Genomic DNA, 21,281 nt, shown 5'->3' on the forward strand with positions numbered 1-21,281 from the left:
GGACTGCAAAAAATACGAGCTACGAAGAGAAGAAATAATTTAATGCTATGCTTAGGCTTAGCCAGTAGAACAAGTATTTCGGAAATGTATCAGGTCAAACTGTTCTTCCAAAAGGGCACCAAATGCCAGGATGCATGCATAGAGATTGGGAGAATTCAAGTGTAAAAATATTACTGAGAAAGAAGAAAAATGTGATTTATGATTCAAAGCTGTTAGAAAAGAAATAATGTCTTCTTACCAGGTATTTTAATACTTACCATAAAGAAAAAGTTTAGCAGGAATTTAGAACACATGAAAGACATGGAAAATCTAACCATTACCTTGCAAATACTTAGGCTTCAGCAACAAGCCAACTCTGGAACGCTTGAAAAAGCCAAATATATTTCAAATCAAATCTGACACAAGAGGGGTGCAAAGGAGTGGAGGTTGAAGAGAGATTTTTTAAGTTCGTGAACTTACTGTGTACTTTCTTTGTTATAGTTATCTTAAATTCATAAAAAAACACATTTAATTTGTAACATTTATTAGCATTCCAAATAAACGACATTTGGAAGTTTGTTTCATTTTTTTTATTTGTTTGTATGATTGACCATATGACCACATAAATAAACCAGGATGGAGCAAAATATTCTGTTTCTTATCTTTAAGAAACTGAAATTAAAACCCAAATGATTCAGGGTTGACTTTGATTCATAGATCAGAAGATTAATTATCTGTATTTAAATTATCAATCAATGACAGTAGTCATATTTATATACATTATCTTTCAAATGTGTTGACTTTTAAAATTATTTTGAATAAAATGTAGTCTCTGGTGGATTAAACAATCCTTACAATTCAGTTACATGCTTCCTCTTACAATAGGGGCAGTGTTCTTTAAATATGCACTGGACATATAAATGAATCTAGTTTATTACCTACCATACTTGAAGAAAGATTTTAGTAAGCACTGATGATCATGGAGCTAACTGCTATAGCAAGGTTTTGGGGTTTTGTTTTGTTTTGTTTTTTACCTGAAGAAAGTACTAAAATAGTCAAAAGGAATTGGGTTTTTGTTTTCTTTTGTGAAATGGGCAGTGTATGAAAAGAATAGGAATGTTATGATGCAGGGGAACGCTGAGTAACTCAGATTAGGATAAATTGAATTTAGCTGGAAGACCAAGTCTTGTACTGAGGTTCTGCATATACATTTACAAACTTAAGTGTAGGCTGAATGATTATTTGAGAGTAATACTTAAGGTCACTTAGGACTAAAAGAAAATTTGATTTTTGCTTGGGTTACATTTTATTTCAATAAAGGGTGTGAGGTGGAGTGTTGACCTTGGATTAAAGGAACCTAAGACTTCAGAAAGCTAGATAAATACAAAGGAAAGAGGCAGATATCTTGCAGCTAAAAGATATGATCTCCTACTGCCTCAGTGGCTTGGTCTCTGCAAGGACTGGTAGAAATATCTGTTAAAGTATATGAGGCAGGAGATGCTAGCTGATATGATTATATCATGTAAGAATGGCATCTGAGAGAGAGTGAAGTGGGTGTGAGATAAGGGTGGTCAGCTGGGATTATCAGGCAACTTAGAGAGTGCCCATTCAAATGACAATCTCCAAACATCCCCTTCTCTTAGTCCTGTATCTGCTCCAACCTGCCTTCCGCTTGGTCATGGACATACCCAAGTCCCTTTCATGGCTGCCGTTTCTGCCTCCTGACTTTGCAATGAACTTCACTGGTGAGTATGTATCAGTGTGTCTTGCATCTACTAGATCTGACAACATGACATAGAGGTAGTTCTGCATGGTGGTTAAGAATTTAGACTTTGGCCCAGACTGCCTGGATTTGAATCCTAGTTCTTCAACCTAACCAGTAGTATCACCTGGTCAAGTTACTTACATTCTCCATGGTTCAGTTTCTTCATCTGCATTTTGGTAATAATAATAATAACCTAACCGGCCAGGTCCAGTGGCTGACACTTGTAATCCTAGCACTTTGGGAGGTTGAGGCAGGTAGGTTGCTTGAGCCAGGAGTTTGAGACCAGCCTGGGCAACATGGCAAAACCACATCTCTACAAAAAAATACAAAAAGAATTAGCCAGGTGTGGTGGCTCACACCTGTATTCCCAGCTATTCTGGAGGCTGATGTGGGAGAATCACTTGAACCTGGGAAGTTGAGGCTGCAGTGAGTCGTGATAGTGCCACTGCATGCCAGCCTGGGCAACAGAGCAAGATCCTGTCTCCATAATAAATAAATAAATAAATAAATAAATAAATAAATAAATAAATAAATAATAACCTAAGTAAGAAAGCTTGCTATTGTGAAGATTTAATAAATTCATATGGGTAAAGTGCTTACAGTGGTGCCTGACAAGTAGTAATCATTCATTATCATATACCATGATTCATCCAAGGAACTTTTAACATGTTAGTAGAATACATCTGTCAAGTAGATAAACCAATTACAATGCAACCAACATTTTATGCAGAACAGTGAATGAAAACCAGTAATCATGCTTATCACTGGTAGGACATGGGATTAGGGAAAACTGTGACTCTATAACCAATAACCACACAACTCCACCTGAGCCAAAAAGTAGGTGGTAATGCTTTTGGCAGAAGAGCAGAAAAAGAACTATCTGAATCTGTGCAATATTGAGGAGAACATTACAGGAGTGGTTAAAGGGCAGTTGTGACAGCGATATGGAGAGAGGACATGAATTTAAAAGCCCAGAGCCTACAGATTCTCTTCAGAACTCACTGGATGAGCTTCTCTCTCCAGAGGTGCTGTAAAGTTTACCTCTTTGATCACAATTTGTGGGAAAACAGGTAGGAGTCCACATCTGTCTGAGATCCTTCCAAACACTTTATATTGCTCTCTCGGGAAAGTGATCTGAAGGATGAATTTGCTAAAATTATCCTATCATTTCAAAAGTCAAGCATCCACTGAATAGTCCTTTGAGATGTTACAACTATTTTGTTTCAGTTATTTGCAACAGAAACATTCAGGAAAACACAATATAATGCTTGATACACTAAAATGAAATGCACTAAAGATATATCCTTTCAAGAATTCTAAAGTTCTAATGAATATCATTTTCTAGGTCTTGTAGGAGGTACAAAGTCAACTAAGATGTGATCTTTGTCGTAAGCAAGCAGAGGGAAGACAACAAACACCACAAGAGAGTTATAAACCATGTATATACATCTCTGTAATTTCCTTATCTAATATCTCCCTACAGTATTTCCCCACATTTTGGCAAAATATCAAATTGGTGAATACAAATTAACTCTGAAAAATTCCCACAAGAACAATACTGCTGTGACTTCAGCCACCTTTGCCTACTAAATTTTGATACTCGGTCTCATTCCATGAAAGAATAGGAGAAAGAGGAAATATTGAAAGAGAAAAAGTGAAAGGAAATAAAGAAAAAGGCATTGGTCCTTTCTGTGTTTGTGGACTCTCAAATGCTGGCCCATGTGTGAGTTCTTTGAAGAACACTCCACATTTTCTCAGATCCCACTTCCAGTACTGCACCTAGTAATTTCTTACTGCTGGAGTTGTCTGCTTAGCAGGCAATAAAGTGATTTCAGTTGAGTTATTTTCCATAGTTCTTCACCTGTGGAAATGTCACATACCCTTGCTTGGCCAAAAGTTGATAGTGCAGGCTGGTCCTCTTAGCCTCCCTTTCAAGCTGCCACAGAGGACCCTGCTGATGGCCCACCCAGACTTCCTAGACATCCCCTGCCAGCATCTGCATCTCCGCCTGAGGGCTTTCTTGGGTTCCTGGAGATGACTCTGCCTATTTGCAGGGGACAGAAAAGTGACAGAGAATTATTGCCCTCCAGGGACCAATCCTTGGCAGTGACTGACATGAGGTAGTCTCTAAATACCTGAGACCTATCACCCTTAAGCTGCGATACTTCTAAGGCCTGAATTCTACACTGGCTCCCAGTGTTCCCTAGTGGAATTAAGAACAACAACTGTTTTATGGTGCTGTTGGCTAGCTTCCTTTCCTTGTCTCATTTCCCCACTCTCACATCAATATTTACTAGGACCACCTCCCAGATAAGCTACTTACACTACAAACTTCATCTTAGGTTGTGCTTCTGGCAGAGCCTAGATGGAAACATCAGATGTGTCTCCAGCTCACTTCTTCTTCCATAAGTAGGCACAGGGGCAAATCAAGGCTCCCGCTCAAGTTCTAAGAGTGCACATAGTTTATGAAATTGAACTTACATTATTTAGAGAGTTTTATATACTCATGGTAAACACACACAGAGTGTGCGATGAACATTCTTTTATAGGGAATTTTATCTCAGATTATTTTCTCATGGGAAATTCCTTGATTGGTAAATATTTCGTTTTAGGATTTATACTTTTATTGCAAACATACTGACAATTTACCATATTGCTCTGGAAATATGATGCCAGTTTCTTAAATATGTAGATAAATTGTGAATGCTCTATGTTCAGAGAAAAAGGCCTGTGAAGAGGAAGATCTCGAATGCACAAGAAAGAAGGGAAAATGCTTGGTGAAAGTTCTACCTTGCTGAGGGAAGGGACCCTTACTCTGACAAATGTAAGAAAATAAGGATGATTACAAATGCACAAGTTTATGGGTTGAACTACTGAAAATTTAAGAGTTTATATCGAATAAAATTAGAAGTGTTGGTATTTTAACCATGTAGATACACAAATATACATTTTAAACACCAACTTTGAAATTAGAAAGACAGGCCAGGAGTGATGGCTCATGCCTATAATCCCAGCACTTTGGGAGGCCGAGGTGGGAGGATCGCTTGAGCCCAGGAGTTCAAGACCAGCCTGGGCAACATGGCAAAACCCTGTCACTACAAAAAATACAAAAATTAGCCAGGCATAATTTGTGACCCTGTAGTCCCTGCTACTTAGGAGGCTGAGGTAGGGGGATACCCCAAGAGGTTGAGGCTGCAGTGAGACATGATCATGCCATTGCATTCCAGCCTGGGAGACAGAGTGAGACCCTGTCTCAAAAAAATAAATAAATAAAAATTAAATTAAATTAGAAAACAAACAAACATACTTGGCATTAGCAACTGGTACATCCTATCTGCTAGTGCTATAGGATGGGCAATTTAAAAAATTGAGGCTTTGGGAGGCCGAGGTGGGCAGATCACCTGAGGTCGGGAGTTTGAGACCACCCTGACCAACAAGGAGAAACCCCGTCTCTACTAAAAATACAAAATTAGCTGAGCATGGTGGTGCATGCCTGTAATCCCAGCTACTTGGGAGGCTGAGGCAGAAGGATCACTTGAACCCGGGAGGTGGAGGTTGTGGTGAGCCGAGATTGCGCCATTGCATTCCAGCCTGGGCAACAAGAGTGAAACTCAGTCTCAAAAAAAAAAAAAAAAAATTTGAGGCTATTGGGGCTGTTTCAGAGAAATTAAGAAAAGAGTTCATCAAACTCATGTCCTCAAAATATAGTTTATATACTCTGGCAGTAGCTTACAACTGGGAAAATATTTAACTTGGTGTTATTACTTTTTCTTAGTAAACGACTCAATCATGTAATAAGTCCTACTAAGAACTTCCCTTAAATTATTTTTTTCTCTATTTATCTTGTGGAATTAAATTTTTCCTTAATTAGTTTCAAATTACATTTATTCACATAAAACAAGGTAGCTATCACTATTTCAATAGACATAGTAATTAGAATCTATCTTCAAGCTTACAGCTTACACATTTAGTACATCTATGAAATAACTATATGCTCTGAACTTGAAAAATCTTTATTGCTTCACCCTTTACAGAAATAAACTATTAATTTCTTGAATGACTCTATGAGAAAGACATACAGCAGAGAAGATGAATACTTTAAAAATCTTTTCATAAAGATGGATAGGGGAAAATGCATCTACTGATGATTCACATATTGCATTTTCTGAGTGCTATCTTTCATTTCAAGTGAAGCATTGTAACAACATTCATGCTAAACAACAACTCTCACAGAGTTTTTCCTATCCACGGCTGACCTCCAAACCAGAGCAGGTTACTGTATGGAAGCGGACTCTGACTCTATGCCGGCAATCCAGTCTTCATATGGTCTGGAGAGATTTAGAGAACAGTCTTTAAAATCTATGGGAAATGCAGAGACAATACATAACAGGAAATTCCTTTCAATGTAGACATGTCTTCACCTGGCAGCTTACTAGAGAAAAGATGAAGAACCATGTTTTCCTGAGAAATGTTCACTTGTATTTATCAAATTAACACTAAAGTATTAATTTTATTTTGTGGTATACAATTTTCCCTGTCTCTATCAGTATCATCTTTTATTTGTGAGTGAATTTCATATTATTTAGAAGCTTCTGACTTCTGGGAAACTAAGACAAAAAGTTTCTGTTGCGTGTGTGTGTGTGTGTGTGTGTGTGTGTGTGTAGACAGAGTCTTGCTCTGTTGTGCAGGCTGGAGTGCAGTGGCGCAATCTCAGTTCACTGCAACCTCTGCCTCCTGGATTCAAGCAATTCTCCTGCCTCCGTCTCCCAAGTAGCTGGGATTACAGGTGTGCACCACCACTCCCATCTAAATTTTGTAGTTTTAGTAGAGACGGGGTTTCACTATGTTGGCCAGGCTGGTCTTGAACTCCTGACCTCAGGTGATCTGCCTGCTTTGGCCTCCCAAAGTGCTGGGATTATAGGCATGAACCACAATATTTAAATGAGTTGCTTAGGAACTCTGATAATTTTTACTAAAAGAAGCATCATCTGCCCTAAGGACTAAGGTATTTTCAGTCAAGGCCAGACTCTTTTATCTTGATCCTGGCCAGGCCAGTGGCATTTGAGGAAGAAATGGAATAGGATTTCTTGACGTCATCTCCCTGGTTAGACATATACTCTTCCAGATGGCTCCTTTTTTTTTTTTTTTTTTTTTTTTTGAGACAGGTCTTGCACTGTCGCCTGGGCTGGAGTTCAATGACGCGATCTCAACTCACTGCAACCTCGGCCTCCCAGGTTCAAGCGATTTTCCTGCCTCAGCCTGCTGAGTAGCTGGGATTACTGGCATGTGCCACCACAGATGGCTAATTTTTGTATTTTTAGTAGAAATGGGGTTTCACCATGTTGGCCAGGCTGGTCTTGACCTCAGGTGATCCACCTGCCTCAGCCTCCCAAAGTGCTGGGATTACAGGCGTGAGCCACCATGCCTAGCCAAGCTTAGCATCCACATTTTCCTTCTTTTTCAGCAATAAAGCTCCATAAAACTAAGGGTAAGCATGAAACCAAGTGTTCCCCAATGAGATCTATGTGGAAGTACTGTGTGGACTGCCACAGAGTCTCCTTAAGAGCGTGACTGTCTCTGTCCTTTTCTCCTTCTTGGCATTTGGAAAGAATCCCTGATGGTAGGAGCTCCAGTAGCCAACTGAGACCATGAGGTGACCTGAAGATGATGGAGCAGAGCTGAAAAGAGGGAACTAGATCCCAGAAGACATTTCAGACCTGTCATTTTCCCTCTGAATTTTCTACTCAAGGCTTAATTTGAGAAAGAAATAAATGTCCATCATGTTTAAGCTAGTGGTACCTCAGATTTTCTATTAGATCCAGCTAAGCTACTCCTAGCCACTTCATTCATTCTAGTTTACATCATCTAGGGGGTTAACACCATCTCAGCCTCTGCCATTGATTGTTCCATGTCAGGCCATGAAATAGCACTCAAGGACCACAGTATGAAATTCCAAGTGCCAGGCGGGGACTCCAGTGGGCTGAAAGAATACACACCCAGAATTGCTACAATTTGCTAAGAGTAAGCCAAAAAGCCAGATTTTTGAAAACATGCTATCTCCTGATTTTAAAATGTGTGATTAAATTATACACACACATACACACACCAAGTGAAATGCACCCTTGGAATGAATATTTTACAGCCATCGTTTACATTCTCTGGGTTACACTGTTTGGCTTTACATCTTGTGTAACAGTTTAGCAACACTGGACATGGAATCCCCTACTTCTCCTTAGCTTTTGATACCTACCTCCAAAGGTAATATAGTAAGATATAGGAAAAGAGGGGCACAAAAAGACCAGGTGATAAATCAGAAGACTGGATAGACTGTCTTTGGCATTTACTTAGCTATGTGATTTGTGTGTAATTATGGTCATTGTTAAGAGAAACCCTCTCTATGCACATTTGTATCATTAGGTCATTGGTGGAGAATTTTCCTACCCTTTGGCCACAGCTGTGAGGGAGGACAAAGCAGTTGGCTCTCTCCATGTGTCTAAGCATTCACAGTCTTTGACCAAGCATTTTCATGATGTATTTCAACCAAACAGAATATAACACTGGCAGCCAATAATAATAAGTGCCTTTAACAGTAGCAGTAGGTACACATTCTTATTACATACCAGTGTCCTATATGCAGGAAATAACAAAACTAATAAATAAAATACATGTAGTGCTAGATTAAGAAGAAATTTGAATTCGACATTTAAGAATTATTCACTCTCTCTTCAAATTAAAAATTTTAGGCCAGGCACAGTGACGCACACCTGTAATCCCAGCACTTTGGGAGGTCGAGGTGGGCTGGTCACTTGAGCCCAGGAGTTCGAGACCAGCTCGGCCAACATGGCGAAACCTTGTCTCTACTAAAAATACAAAATTTAGTCAGGTGTGACGCCGAGATGGCGTCACTGCACTCCAGCCTGGGTGACAGAGGGTGACCCTCTCTCTCTCTCACAAAAAAAAAAAAAAAAAAAAAAAAAAATGAGTACTACTTTTTTGCCTGGGAAATATATGTGAGGTCTGGAATTGTTGTACGTACTGAGGATTTATTTCTTCATTATTCATTCATTCCATTCCATTCTATTCCATTCCACTTATACTTCTAAAGTTCTGATAAGGTTGAAAAAGAGATTCCTATATAATACTAGGGATGATTTGAGAATTCTTCAAAAGCTTAAGAAGCACAAAAGAGAGAGCATTTCCAGACGTAAATTTGGAAATATATCTTTTCAGCATAAAGAACTTAGCTGATGCAACAGTGAGCGATTGTTGATGTTAAAACTACCCTCTGAGTGTGGAACAACTGAGTCCACTGCAGATTACATAAGTACCCCCACCCCTTCCTATAAAAAAAAAAAGAACCCAAACTTTCCTTATTATTTCAGCACTGGGGCCATCAGAGAGACCACTGCAAAACATACAAAGGCTATTATCAGCCTTTGTATGAACAAATCCTAGTGGCATCTCACAGATCTTCAGGGTTTGTTAGAAAACATAAAAAGAGACACTTTCTTCCCATAAGCCTGGGAGAGAAGATTACTCTCCAGGTAAAGGTGTGAATATCTACTAGTGTGGACACATCATGGAAGATGCTCTTTCCCTGAGCTAGGAAGCACTTCTGCCCACACATTCCCAGTCCTCTGACCATCTAAAGCTTGGATGTTTGGCGAGACAGCGCATCCCCCACCAGAGGATCACATTTCTGGAATTCAGGAACAATGAGGAAAGCAGATTTTTTTTTTTTCAAAGGAAGCTTCATGCGATGTTTGTTTAACGGATATTTAGCAAAAGCGAAGTGGAAATGAGGGGCTCTGGTTTTATTTTGATGTGAAATACGTAGGATTGAGAAGAGCCTGGCATTCACAGTGGGACCAATTTAAACATATTCACTTTAGGAAAGGTAACTTACAAACACATGGCAGGAAGAAAAACCAAGAAAAAGGTCGTTATGAGATAATTACTCACCCAGAACAAACAGCTGAAGAGCTTTTCATTAATTCTGTAAAAGGATTTCATGTAATTAAGTTCAAGGTGCTAAACTTTCCCCCAGGCTATTGACTGTGTACTAATTACAGAATTCACTGCTTTAGTCCTTGCACTCTTTGAAGAGTGCTAGGGGGTGGTTCTGAAGAGACTATGTCTACACTGCACTTTATCCATTCAAATCAGGTGTGATAATGGTGAGTACCCACTCATATACTACCCCTCGAGTTGTCCAATTCTGACACCAAATAATAATCATTTAAAAAGAGAAGCAACACTGTTAATCCTTTTTGTTTGGTCAGTCCCATCTGCTGAGAAATAACAGCAAATTTCATGTTGTTAAAGAAAATTTCTACATCTCGCGGTTTTTATACAAGAGGAATAAGATGTCTGACTGAGGGGTAACTGTGCGCTTGCACAGTGTGCCTATGCACCATACATGTTTATGTGTTTGCCTGTGATTGTGTCTGTGAACAGTTGTGTGAGCATTCAGTTTCAAACAGAAAAGGTTTGAAAAACTGATTTTTCCAGGGAGTAATTAATAATCTCAGAAATGTCCCTGTGATTTTCAATTTCACACAAAGGCTAGGTCACAATCAGTTATAATAATACCACTCTGCACACACGTGGGAATCTGACAAACGATCTCATTTCCATGATGAAACGTACAAAGTTTCAGGTCAAAACCCATTCAAGATAGCTTACCATTTTCAAACTAACTTTGCAGCTAAATGCTTCTGCCTGATCCCTATGCAAAAATTCAAGCCTCAACCAACACCATTTCTAAATGTTGGTCATCTTCTACCAATTTTCTCTAAATCTTATATTTTAGTTATACCTAAGAATGCTCATCAGAGGCTTGGAAAAGTTACAATGCAGACATGTAGGCTTCCAGTTTAGACAGGGACTGAGTCCAGTCGACCTTCTTTTTTTTTTTTTTTTTTTTTTTGAGGAGTCTCACTCTGTCACCCAGGCTGGAATGCAGTGGTGTGGCCTCGGCTCACGGCAAGCTCCGCCTCCCGGGTTCACGCCATTCTCCTGCCTCAGCCTCCCGAGTAGCTGGGACTACAGGCACCCACCACCACGCCCGGCTAATTTTTTGTGTTTTTAGTAGAGACGGAGTTTCACCGTGTTAGCCAGGACGGTCTAGATCTCCTGACCTCGTGATCCACCCGCCTTGGCCTCCCAAAGTCCTGGGATTACAGGCCTGAGCCACCGCGCCTGGCCGAGTCCAGCTGACCTTCTTTTGTACCTTCTCATAGCCCAACCAAAATGAGAAAAAATAAAAATAAAAAAGTCAAAGGGAAGATCAGCTAATACAAACTTTTGAGAAATCCCTGCTTGTTAGATTACAAATGGATCCAGGCTGAAGAGCAGCACTGGGAACCTTGTAGGCAATTCCTCTGTTCAAGACAGGATGTAGTAGTTGGAAGGGGAAAGCTGAAGACAGAGTAGGTCTTGAGGGGAGCACTGTGTACTCGACTCATTACCCATTTTACTGTTTTGGATCAACATTCTCAGAGGCCCCGGGCAAGTCTGGCCAAGCCAAACAGAGGAGCTGGCACATGGCAGGTTTTTCCCTGATGCAGCAGGGTTCTTCCTGGATGGAGTAGACCATGGCATTAGGAATAAGGCCAGCCATCAGGACCTCATGAGTATTTAGAGCGGAGACCAGGTCCAACAGGGAACTACAGCTGCAAAACTATACCCTGCCTGGCGCGACTGCTTCAACACACAGAGAGCATTTTTAGGGTAGCTATTTATCTCTTAAAGGCAAAAGCCTTTAAACCTTCATAAGCAATGAAAACAGTACAAATGAAAAAAAAATAGATCCAGTAGACTAACAAAACATTTGTTGCCATCACCTTAAACAAAATTAAAGCGCTGAGAAAAAATATTTGCCACACACTTGGGTCACTGACAGCTGAGGGTTAATACCATTAAGATTTAAAGAGCATTTGCAAATCAATAAGAGAGCCACCCCCAGTTAAAAACTGGATAATAATCCTCAAATATCTTAGTGGGTATTCAAAAAAAGGAGCTATATATGGACAATAACATGTTTTTAAAATATTCAGCCTCACTAATAGGGAAATGCAATTTAAAATGGGACTCCATTTCTCACTTAGAAAGTTAGGGGGTGGGGGATGGAATCTTCAAATGATATTAGCCAGCACTGGCTGGTCTGAACCCCAGGTCCTGACACTGGGGCTGCATGTGGAGGGCAGGTTGGCACCATTTTCTGCAGAGCAACTTGACACATGTATTAAATGTCTTAAAAAAACATGAATATTCTTTGATGCAATAATGGCACTTCAAGAATTTGCCTTAAGGAAATGATTAGAGATATGGACAAAGATTTAGTTACACAATGTTTGTAACAGCCTAAATACATAGTAATAGGTAGTCTCACACACACACACACACACACACTCACACACAAAAGCACATTCTACAGTGGAAAACTGTGACCCTGAAAAATAATGATAGTAGAAATATGTTCCTTATTTTGGAAAGAAGACTGAAATATATGGTGGGAATACAAAGTCAAATTACAAGAGGATGTACAATTGAATCCTTTTTCCTGGGTAAACATAATTTAGGCATAATATATGTATGAAAACATGCCTATTACCTAGACAACTGAATAAAGTCAAGGAAGCTATGTACCAAACTATGACGGTATATTTTCAGGAAATAGTTTTCCTGATTATTTTATTTTCTGCAATAAATATTTATTATCAGTAAAATAAAATATATATAAAAAGAGAAAAAAAGAATCAAAGAGACTTCAACAAGAATCCAAATATAGAAGGCATATTTTTAAAAATCAGTGTTTCTATACGTCAAGAAAAGTTGTTTGAAATTTAATTTTAAAAGATGCTATTCATGACAGTAATATTGAACAGAATATATTTAGATGTAAACTTGAAAAATATATACAGGACTTAACTTCTAAAAATCTACAACTTTGTTAAAGATGTATAAATGTATGTGTATAAAGAATATGCATAAATGCTATTAAGCAAATTATATGAACCAAATAGTGCTGGGACAACTGCTTATTCATTTAAAAAATAAAATTAGACATCTTTGTCACACTATGCACAAAAGTAAGTTCCAGATGGATTAAACTGCTAAATAGAAAACTATTTCTCTGATTTGGGAAATGAGAAGGCTATTCTAAGACTTTGAGAAAATATAAGGTCTTACACTTTTGAAATGGAAGAATTATTACTATAAAATACATATAATCCCCAAGTTAATTCAATATTTTCTATATTGAAATCAAAATCCTTACTGACTTCATTGGTAATATGTAAAAATGAATTTAAAATTCATATTAAATAATAAGTGGGTAAGAATTAACTAGAAAAAGAATAGATTTTTTAAAAGGAGAATTTGCACTACCAGATATTTAAATATGTTGTAAAGTTACAATAGTTAAAACATTTTGGCAATGATACAAATGAGATAGAGAATGGGATGAAATAGAAAGCCAGGAAGAGATCAAATACCCATAAGCATTTAGCACATGATAAACATGACATTCAATTAAATTGGAAAAGGACAGATGGCTATTAAGCAAGTAGTGCTGGGACAACTGGTTAACTATTTATTTTTTAAAATCAAGTTAGACCTCTTTGTCATATCATACACAAAAATAAATTCCAGATGGATTAAGCTGCTACATGGAAAACTATTTCTCTGATTTGGGAAATGAGAGAGCTATTCTAAAACTATGAACAAATATAGGATCTTAAGGAAAATGTTTGATAGATTTGAGTGTATAAAAATGTAAACCATTCATCTAACAACATTTCCATAAACAAAAATAAAAGGCAGTGAACTGGAAAAACATTTGCAACATATACACAAAAGAATTACTGGCCTCACTATATAAAGAACTTTTGCAAATCATTAAGAAAAAAAAACAAGCCAATGTGTTAAGAAAAAACAAACAAGCACTATAATGGCAAAATGGGCAAAAACTATAAATATCAGAGGAAAAAATACAAATGTCCAGTAGATGTACTGGAAAATGTTCATCCTCAAAAATCAAAAATGTGTATTTGCTAAAATGATGCCTCCATCACCTCTTAAATTGACAAAGATATTAAAAAGAATAGTATGATATTGGTGAATATGTGGCAAATTTACTGCTGAGATACTCTGCTGATGAGAATATAAATTTATACAACCCTCCAAGGGAGAAATGGACAATAGTATCAAGAAGTTACAAATGTTCATAACCTTTAGTTCAGGAACTTTTATAGAAATTCTTCCTAAAGATGTAAACAGAGGAGTCCACAAATATTTATGTTCACGATAACTTAGTAAGGAAAAATCCTAAGTGTCCAACAATAAGTGATTGTTGCACGCAATGGAATAGTATGCAGCTAATGTAGAACATTTTAATTAGGATATAACAAACGAAAAATGTAGGCTACAAAACAGCAAGATATTAAAAGTATGAATGGATGTACATACTGGGCAACTGTTCAACAACCTGCAAACAGTGGCTTTTTTAAAGTGATGAAATTTTAGGGTTTTTTTTTCCTCTCCCTACTTTTTGTTTAATTCAGTCCACAAACACTGGCTTGCTATTATGTGTTAGATATTTCTATATGTTTCTTTTTCCCCCACTGAATATGGATTAATTTGTAATCAGAAAAACAGACACACTTTACAAAAGTCCGACATCCCAAACTGACTTCCTCTTCCAGATATTAAAAATCTAATAAAGGATTGGAGCAAAAATAGGAAGGGCACGAATCTTACATTGAAAGCATAACATAACTTTAAAAAGAATTGGGGTTAGGTTTATATCACTCCATGTCCTACCTTTAGAAACACTTTGTAAACCATGCTCACCTGTTTCAGCTTGGATACCGTCTGCTCCTACAAACGTGAATGTGATTAGCGTTTCAAGGATCCCTTCCTAACAGGGTCCTCGAAGCCGACTATCTAAGGAGCCTGACATCCCTCTAAGCGTTTTAAAATCCATTATCCCATTGGAACCTCCACAACAATAATAGGCGGGTAGCGATGACTCTGGTTTTGTGGATGGGGACGCTTGACTTGGGGTGGTTATGCCTTGCCCAGGACTGAACCCCGGGATAGAGACGGGCAGGCAGCGGTGGGTCGAAGGGCCCGGGGACTAGGGCCCGGGTCGGGAGGGGCGGGCGCCTTACCGCGGCTTGCTGGAAGGCGCCCTTGGTGTAGGTGCCGCCACCTCGGTAGGAGATGGCAGGGATCTCTTGGAGGAGCAGCGCGCACTTGTGCTGGCGCGCGCGGCGGGTGGAGATGTAATCGACGCGCGGCACCACGTAGTTCTTGGACGAGAAGGTCACGATGGCCACGCGCGTGGCCGTGGGCACCACGGGGAAGTCGGACAGCAGCTTGCGGACGAACATGAGCTCGCTGCGGAAGTTGACTTCGCCCACGCTGGACGAATCATCCACCAGGAAGACAAGCTCCAGGCGCTCGCTGAGCTCCCGCAGCAGCCGCACGCGTCGCCGGAACGCCTGGCCCAGCCGCTCCACTCTGCTCCCCGCCGCTTCGTCGCCAGGAGCGGGCGGCGCGGGGATACTCCCGGGGGCCCCGGGCGCGGTCTCGGGGAAGAGGCGGAAGCTGAAATTGCGCGACGGGGACATCTGCTGAAAGGTCGCCCAGCCCGAAACGAGCGCCAGACCCCAGCAACAAAAGGCCAGGCGAGGCCACATCGCGCTGGAGACAGAGCGGCTGCCCCGGAGCGCAGGCGGCGGCTCGGGCGGGAAGAGGCGCTGGGCGGCCGGACTCGCAGAGGGGCGTGCGCGGAGCTGGGCGCGGGGCAGCGGCCAAGAGCCTCAGCGCCCTTTCATCTGACACTGGGGACAGACACAATCCAGACTCCTCAGCAGCTCGGGAACTCCGGAGGGAACGGCGCGCGCTCTCTACCCCTCTCGCTCTCCTCTTTTTTTCTTCCCTCTCTCCTCCTCCTCTCTCTCCCTGAAGCCTATAAAATGTTTGAAGGAAAGGGGGCAGTCAAGAAAAATCTCCCGCTTCCCTCCTTCTCTCCCTCTCTCCCTCTCCCCGCTCCTGTCTACTTTCTGTATCTGTGACTCTATCTCCCTCCTCCCCCTCTCATTCTCCTCCCGGGATCAAGCCAAAGGCTCGGAGATTCCATGACACCAGAACCCCGCGTCTGTCAGGCTGTCAACATTCCCGCAGCAAGCGCACCAGCGCCGAAGCCCTGATTGATCCCATATGTCTGGCAGGAGCTGCAGAGGAATTCACTGGAGATGGATCCAGATACCGAGAGTGCCACAGTAATTGGAAACACTTTGTAGACGAAAACATACACGCGGACTGGCCAGGGAGTTGAAAGCATCCTTTGAAAACTGCTTGCTCACCTTTTGTGTTTCTTTTCCCCCATTCAGTGTCCCAAAGCCCTCGCCAAATAGATGATTGTACAATTTTCCTGATGGGGATTTCTAATCAGTGGTGTGTGTGAGCGTGCAGATTAAGCCCTTAAGGGCCCCCTCAGATCACACCATAAAGGAGTTGCATCTAACCTTATGCGTTCCACAGGAATGATTTGTCATGGTACTTCAGTCGTGCATTTATTCATTCATCTGTTTGTTCATTCTTTCCTGATTTTAACAAATATTTTTTGAATACCCATTGTGTGCCAGGAACTATGTGAGGCACTGCAAATATAAGGAACAAAAATTGACAGGGATTCTATCCTCAATGAACTTAAAGGGTAACAAGTGAGGTGACCATTAACCAGATATTAACATACAAAATATATGTAATTACAAGTGACCATGCTAAATAAAGGAGAGCTTAGGTAGACAGACTTGACCTTGGAGAGGCCAGAGAAGCCTTCTCTGAGGACAGAAAGTTTGTGCTGAAGTCTGAAGTGTAAGTAGGGGGTCCCCAGTCCCCTTTCATGTGTTCTTGATCTATTTCAACAGATAAGATCCACCTGGCTTTAAGTGGTACCTGGCATATATCTGCTTTGAAACAAGTTGCTACCTGGGGTGGTTTTTCCAAAGCAAGACCTCCAAAGGGGAGAGCGCACGTGTAAAGAAAAGGTGCACTTTGCATGAGGGTGGGGCCTTTGGTTAAAAGATTCCAGCTGGGAGTCAGGAACACCGTGTAGGTAAGCCTACGGTTATGTAAACCACCTGAACTGAGTCACTTCCAATCCTTGGCTCAGCATCAGTATCTATTTCATGATGGAATTCAGTGATCTCAGTTTCCTCTGTTTCTAATAGTGAATGATTTAACTCCGTCTGTATTTAACAAAATACTTTCAGTGACAAGTATCACAATGTATTGTGTAACATGTTAGGGCTCTGGCATCAGTTTTCCTGGACGAAATCATGACTCTGCCATTTATTAGTTGTACAGCCTTGACTCAGTTTGTTCATTTGTAAAATGGAGTAATAACGATAACATATTAAGGGCTGTCATAAGGATTAAGTCATAAAAAAGTAAAATTCTTAGGACAATGCTTGGAGCATAGCGTGTACTCAATAAATGCTGGCTGGTTGCTCTTATTGCCACCTTTAATCATGAATGTTCTTCAAATTATTTTCCTAACAATACTTATTGACCACCTGCTATGTGCTGGCATGTTAGATACGGAGGATTTAAAGGTGAATAAGACTGAGTTCCAGTCCTCCAGAAGTTCAAAGAACATTAGAAAAGAACATAGATTTGCAAACAATTACAAAGCAGTAGGGTGACTGCAAAAGCAGAGAAGAAAGAGCAAGGAGGAGAAAGATCTCGTTCTTCCTGGGGAATGAGTAAGACTTCATTTGAGCTGGGACTTTTTTAAAAAAAAAAAAGTTTTTCCAAATATCATCTACTCTGTGTTATTTAAAACACATCATGAAGCCCTTTATGTGCAAAGCACCGTGGCATCTGCAATGTGTGCCATCTCCTGTGTTCCCCACACAAACCAAGGAGGTACTCAATTGCTTTAGAACTCTTGCTGCAAGTAAGTGGCACCTAATGTCTCCTCATTTAAACAAAAAGGGATTTTTTGGTTAGTATAACTAAACTAGGGAAAGGGCAGAGGGTACAGCTGGTCTCAAAAAGGCTTGGAAAAGGAAATTAAAAACTACTTAGGTCTTTAATTTTTCTCTCAGTTTGGCTTCTTTTTGGATGCCACATTTAGTCTCTTCTTCGGATTTATAACCTGAGAAAGACTTTTACCCCACCAACTCAAGTTAATAATATTTTGAGATGTCTGCCATAGGCCTAGACACATTCAAAGCTCTCTGGATAATTCTAACACATGCCCCAAGGGTGAACGCCTAAGAACAGCACTCTGGCATTGTGTACCTCCAACGGGATGAACAGTCAGGCCTATGTTACTTGTCCTCATGGTAAGAGAGTGGGGACACATCAGTCAGAGAAGTCCTGCCTGAGTGTTATTAAGACTGCTGCTCCAAGTCTTGCCACCGCTCCCCAGAGCCCTGTAGTCCCTTCTGCTCTCTAATCTAAAGCAGTGGTTCCCAGCGGGAGAGATTTGCATGTCTCACTCCCAGGAACCTTAGGCAATGTCTGGAGACATTTGGGGGATGGGGCAGTGCTACTGGCATCTAGTGTATAGGAGTAAGGGGTGCAACAAAACCTCCTACAATGCACTGGCAGCCACCACAACAAAGAATCATCTAGCCCCAAATGACAATAGTGGTGAGGTTGAGAAACTCTGGCCTATACCACAGTAATAGATGCAGAAGATGACAAAAACTTGTTAGACTAAACATTAAGATTAGAAAGGCTGGGCACAGTGGCTCATGCCTGTAATCCCAACACTTCAGGAGGCCGAGGCGGGTGGATCATTTGAGGTCAGCAGTTCGACACCAGCCTGACCAACGTGGTGAACCCCTGTCTCTACTAAAAATACAAAAAAAAAAAAAAAAAAAAATAGCTGGGCATGGTGACACATGCCTGAAGTCCCAGCTAGTCGGGAGGCTGAGGCAGGATGATCCATTGAACTGAGGGGGCAGAGGTTGCAGTGAGCCTAGATCGCACTACTGCACTCCAGCCTGGGCAACAGAGTGAAACTCTGACTCAAAAAAAAAAAAGAAAAAAGAGGAAAAGAAAAAGCAACTTAAAGGTATAGAAATGACAACATGGAGCTGAAGTGTAAAAAAAACCTACCCTGACTTCCTGACTTCATCTCATGAAATAAAGACTTCTGGAAAAAAAAAAAGTGTGTTGGTGGGCTAGGGCAAGAGGCATGCATTATATAATTCTCACCACCTAAACTGTGATTCAGAGTCCCACATTTTGTTCAATCAGGAATGGAACCTCAATCCTGTCTACCCGCTGGGACCTCTGCTTGAGTCGAGGACACCAACTACACCCTCCCTTCACAGCACCCATCTTTCTACATTGAAGCTGATACTGTGAACAGATAAGTTGCAACGTGCATATGGGGAAAGATGGAAGAGGGACTGAGGAAGAGAGCAGAGTGGTGCTGGTAAAGATCCTCCTGAGATTCCAAGCATCAAGTCCAGTCATGGGAGCAGAGGCAGGAAAAATGTCTGTTTCCACGCATGCTAGTTGTCATGTTTTGTTTTAAAAACAAAACTATAACACAGTGTCAGTGAATCACAGCGGCAGGCAGTGGAGATAGGAGGAAGATGCCACCTTGTGACTGCATTATGACTGTATTTATAAGAATATCTTTCTGCCGTGAATTTAACAAAGACATTCTCTCACATACAGAGGTTGGGAACATCTGCCACTCTATATGTTTCTTTTTAAAAAAAATTCCCATCAGTTTTTTGGGGAACAGATGAGTAAGTTCTTTAGTGATGATGTGTGAGATTTTGGTGCACCCATCATCTGAGCAGTATACACTGAACCCAATTTGTAGTCTTTAATCCCCCACCCCCTTCGCACCCTTTCCCCCTGAGTCCCCAAAGTCCATTGTGTCATTCTTATGCCTTTACATCCTCATAGCTTAGCTCCTGCTTATGAGTGAGAACATACGATGTTTGGTTTTTCCATTCCTGAGTTACTTCACTTAGAATAATAGTCTCCAATCCCATCCAGGTTGCTGCGAATGCCATTAGTTTATTCCTTTTTATGTCTGAGTAGTATTTCATCGTTCACAGTTTCTTATCCACTGATTGATTGATGGGCATTTGGGCTGGTTCCACTTTTTTGCAATTGCAAATTGTGCTGCTATAAACATACCTGTGCAAGTATCTCTTTCTTTTCCTCTGGGTAGATACCTAGTAGTGGGATTGCTGGATCAAATGGTAGTTCTACTTTTAGTTCTTTATGGAATCTCCACACTGTTTTCCATAGTAGTTGTACTAGTTTACAGTCCCACTAGCAGCGTAGAAGTGTTCCCTGTTCACCGCATCCACCTCAACATCTATTATTTTTTGATTATGACTATTCTTACCGGAGTAAGGTGGTATCTCATTGTGGTTTTGATTGCATTTCCCTGATCATTAGTGATGTTGAGCATTTTTTTTATATGTTCATTGGCCATTTGCATATCTTCTTTTGAGAATTGTCTATTCATATCCTTAGCCCATTTTTTATGGGATTTTTTTTTCTTGTGAATTTGTTTGAGGTCATTGTAGATATTAGTCCTATGTCAGATGTATAGATTGTGAAGATTTTCTCCTGCTCTGTGGGTTGTCTGTTTACCGTGCTGTTTATTTTGCCATGCAACAGATCTTTAGTTCAATTAAGTCCCAGCTATTTATTTGTATTAATATTTATTTGTATTTGTATTTGTTGCATTTGCTTTTGGGTTCTTGGTCATGAAATTCTTGCCTAAACCAATGTGTAGAAGGGTTTTTCCAATGTTATCTTCTAGAATTTTTATGGTTTTTGGTCTTAGATTTAAGTCCTTAATCCATCTTGAGTTGATTTTTGCATAAGGTGAGAGATTAGGATCCAGTTTCATTCTCCTACATGTGGCTAGCCAATTATCCCAGCACCATTTGTTGAATAGGGTGTCCTTTCCCCACTTTAGTTTTTTGTTTCCTTTGTCAAAGATCAGTTGGCTGTAAGTATTTGGGTTTATTTTTCGGTTCACTATTCTGTTCCATTGGTCTATGTGTATTTTTTATACCAGCACCATGCTGTTTTGGTGACTATGGCTTTGTAGTAAGTTTGAAATCAGGTAATGTGATGCCTACAGATGTGTTCTTTTTGCTTAGACTTGCTTTGGTTATGCAGGCTCTTTTTTGGTTACATATGAATTTTAGAATTTTTTTTTTCTAATTCTGTGAAGGATGATGGTGGTATTTTGATGGGAATTGCATTGAATTTGTAGATTGCTTTGGCAGTGTGGTCATTTTCACAATATTGATTCTACCCATCCATGAGCAAGGGATGTGTTTCCATTTCCATTTGTTTGTGTTTATGATTTCTCTCAGCAGTATTTTGTAGTTTTCCTTGTAGGGGTCTTTCACCTCCTTGGTTAGGTATATTCCTCAGTTTTTTTGTTTGTTTATTTGTTTTTGCAGCTATTGTAAAAGGAGTTGAGTTCTTGATTTGATTCTCATCTTGTTTGCTGTTGATA

The 21,281-nt window shown here is 40.3% G+C and overlaps 1 protein-coding gene across 1 annotated transcript in view, besides 2 other annotated features; it reads right to left on the reverse strand.

Annotated features, from left to right (window-relative positions):
• The window catches only part of SVEP1 (sushi, von Willebrand factor type A, EGF and pentraxin domain containing 1), a 214,494-nt gene extending 198,846 nt beyond the window's left edge, over positions 1-15,648 (reverse strand). Inside the window, exon 1 of the mRNA NM_153366.4 lies at positions 14,920-15,648. Coding sequence (NP_699197.3) covers positions 14,920-15,450 — 531 coding nt within the window. The 5' untranslated portion in view covers positions 15,451-15,648. The remainder of the gene's footprint in view (positions 1-14,919) is intronic.
• Positions 14,515-15,015: an enhancer, noted in NCBI's record as "H3K4me1 hESC enhancer chr9:113340888-113341388 (GRCh37/hg19 assembly coordinates)". NCBI's record gives its function as "activates a minimal SCP1, AML or CMV promoter by ChIP-STARR-seq in naive H9 embryonic stem cells {active_cell/tissue: H9 hESC(naive)}" and the evidence as "EXISTENCE:reporter gene assay evidence [ECO:0000049][PMID:30033119]".
• Positions 15,016-15,516: an enhancer, noted in NCBI's record as "H3K4me1 hESC enhancer chr9:113341389-113341889 (GRCh37/hg19 assembly coordinates)". NCBI's record gives its function as "activates a minimal SCP1, AML or CMV promoter by ChIP-STARR-seq in naive H9 embryonic stem cells {active_cell/tissue: H9 hESC(naive)}" and the evidence as "EXISTENCE:reporter gene assay evidence [ECO:0000049][PMID:30033119]".
• Positions 15,649-21,281: the final 5,633 nt, after the last annotated feature.

Source organism: Homo sapiens, chromosome 9 (assembly GCF_000001405.40).
Source record: "Homo sapiens chromosome 9, GRCh38.p14 Primary Assembly".
In the NCBI taxonomy this organism is placed as follows: domain Eukaryota; kingdom Metazoa; phylum Chordata; class Mammalia; order Primates; family Hominidae; genus Homo; species Homo sapiens.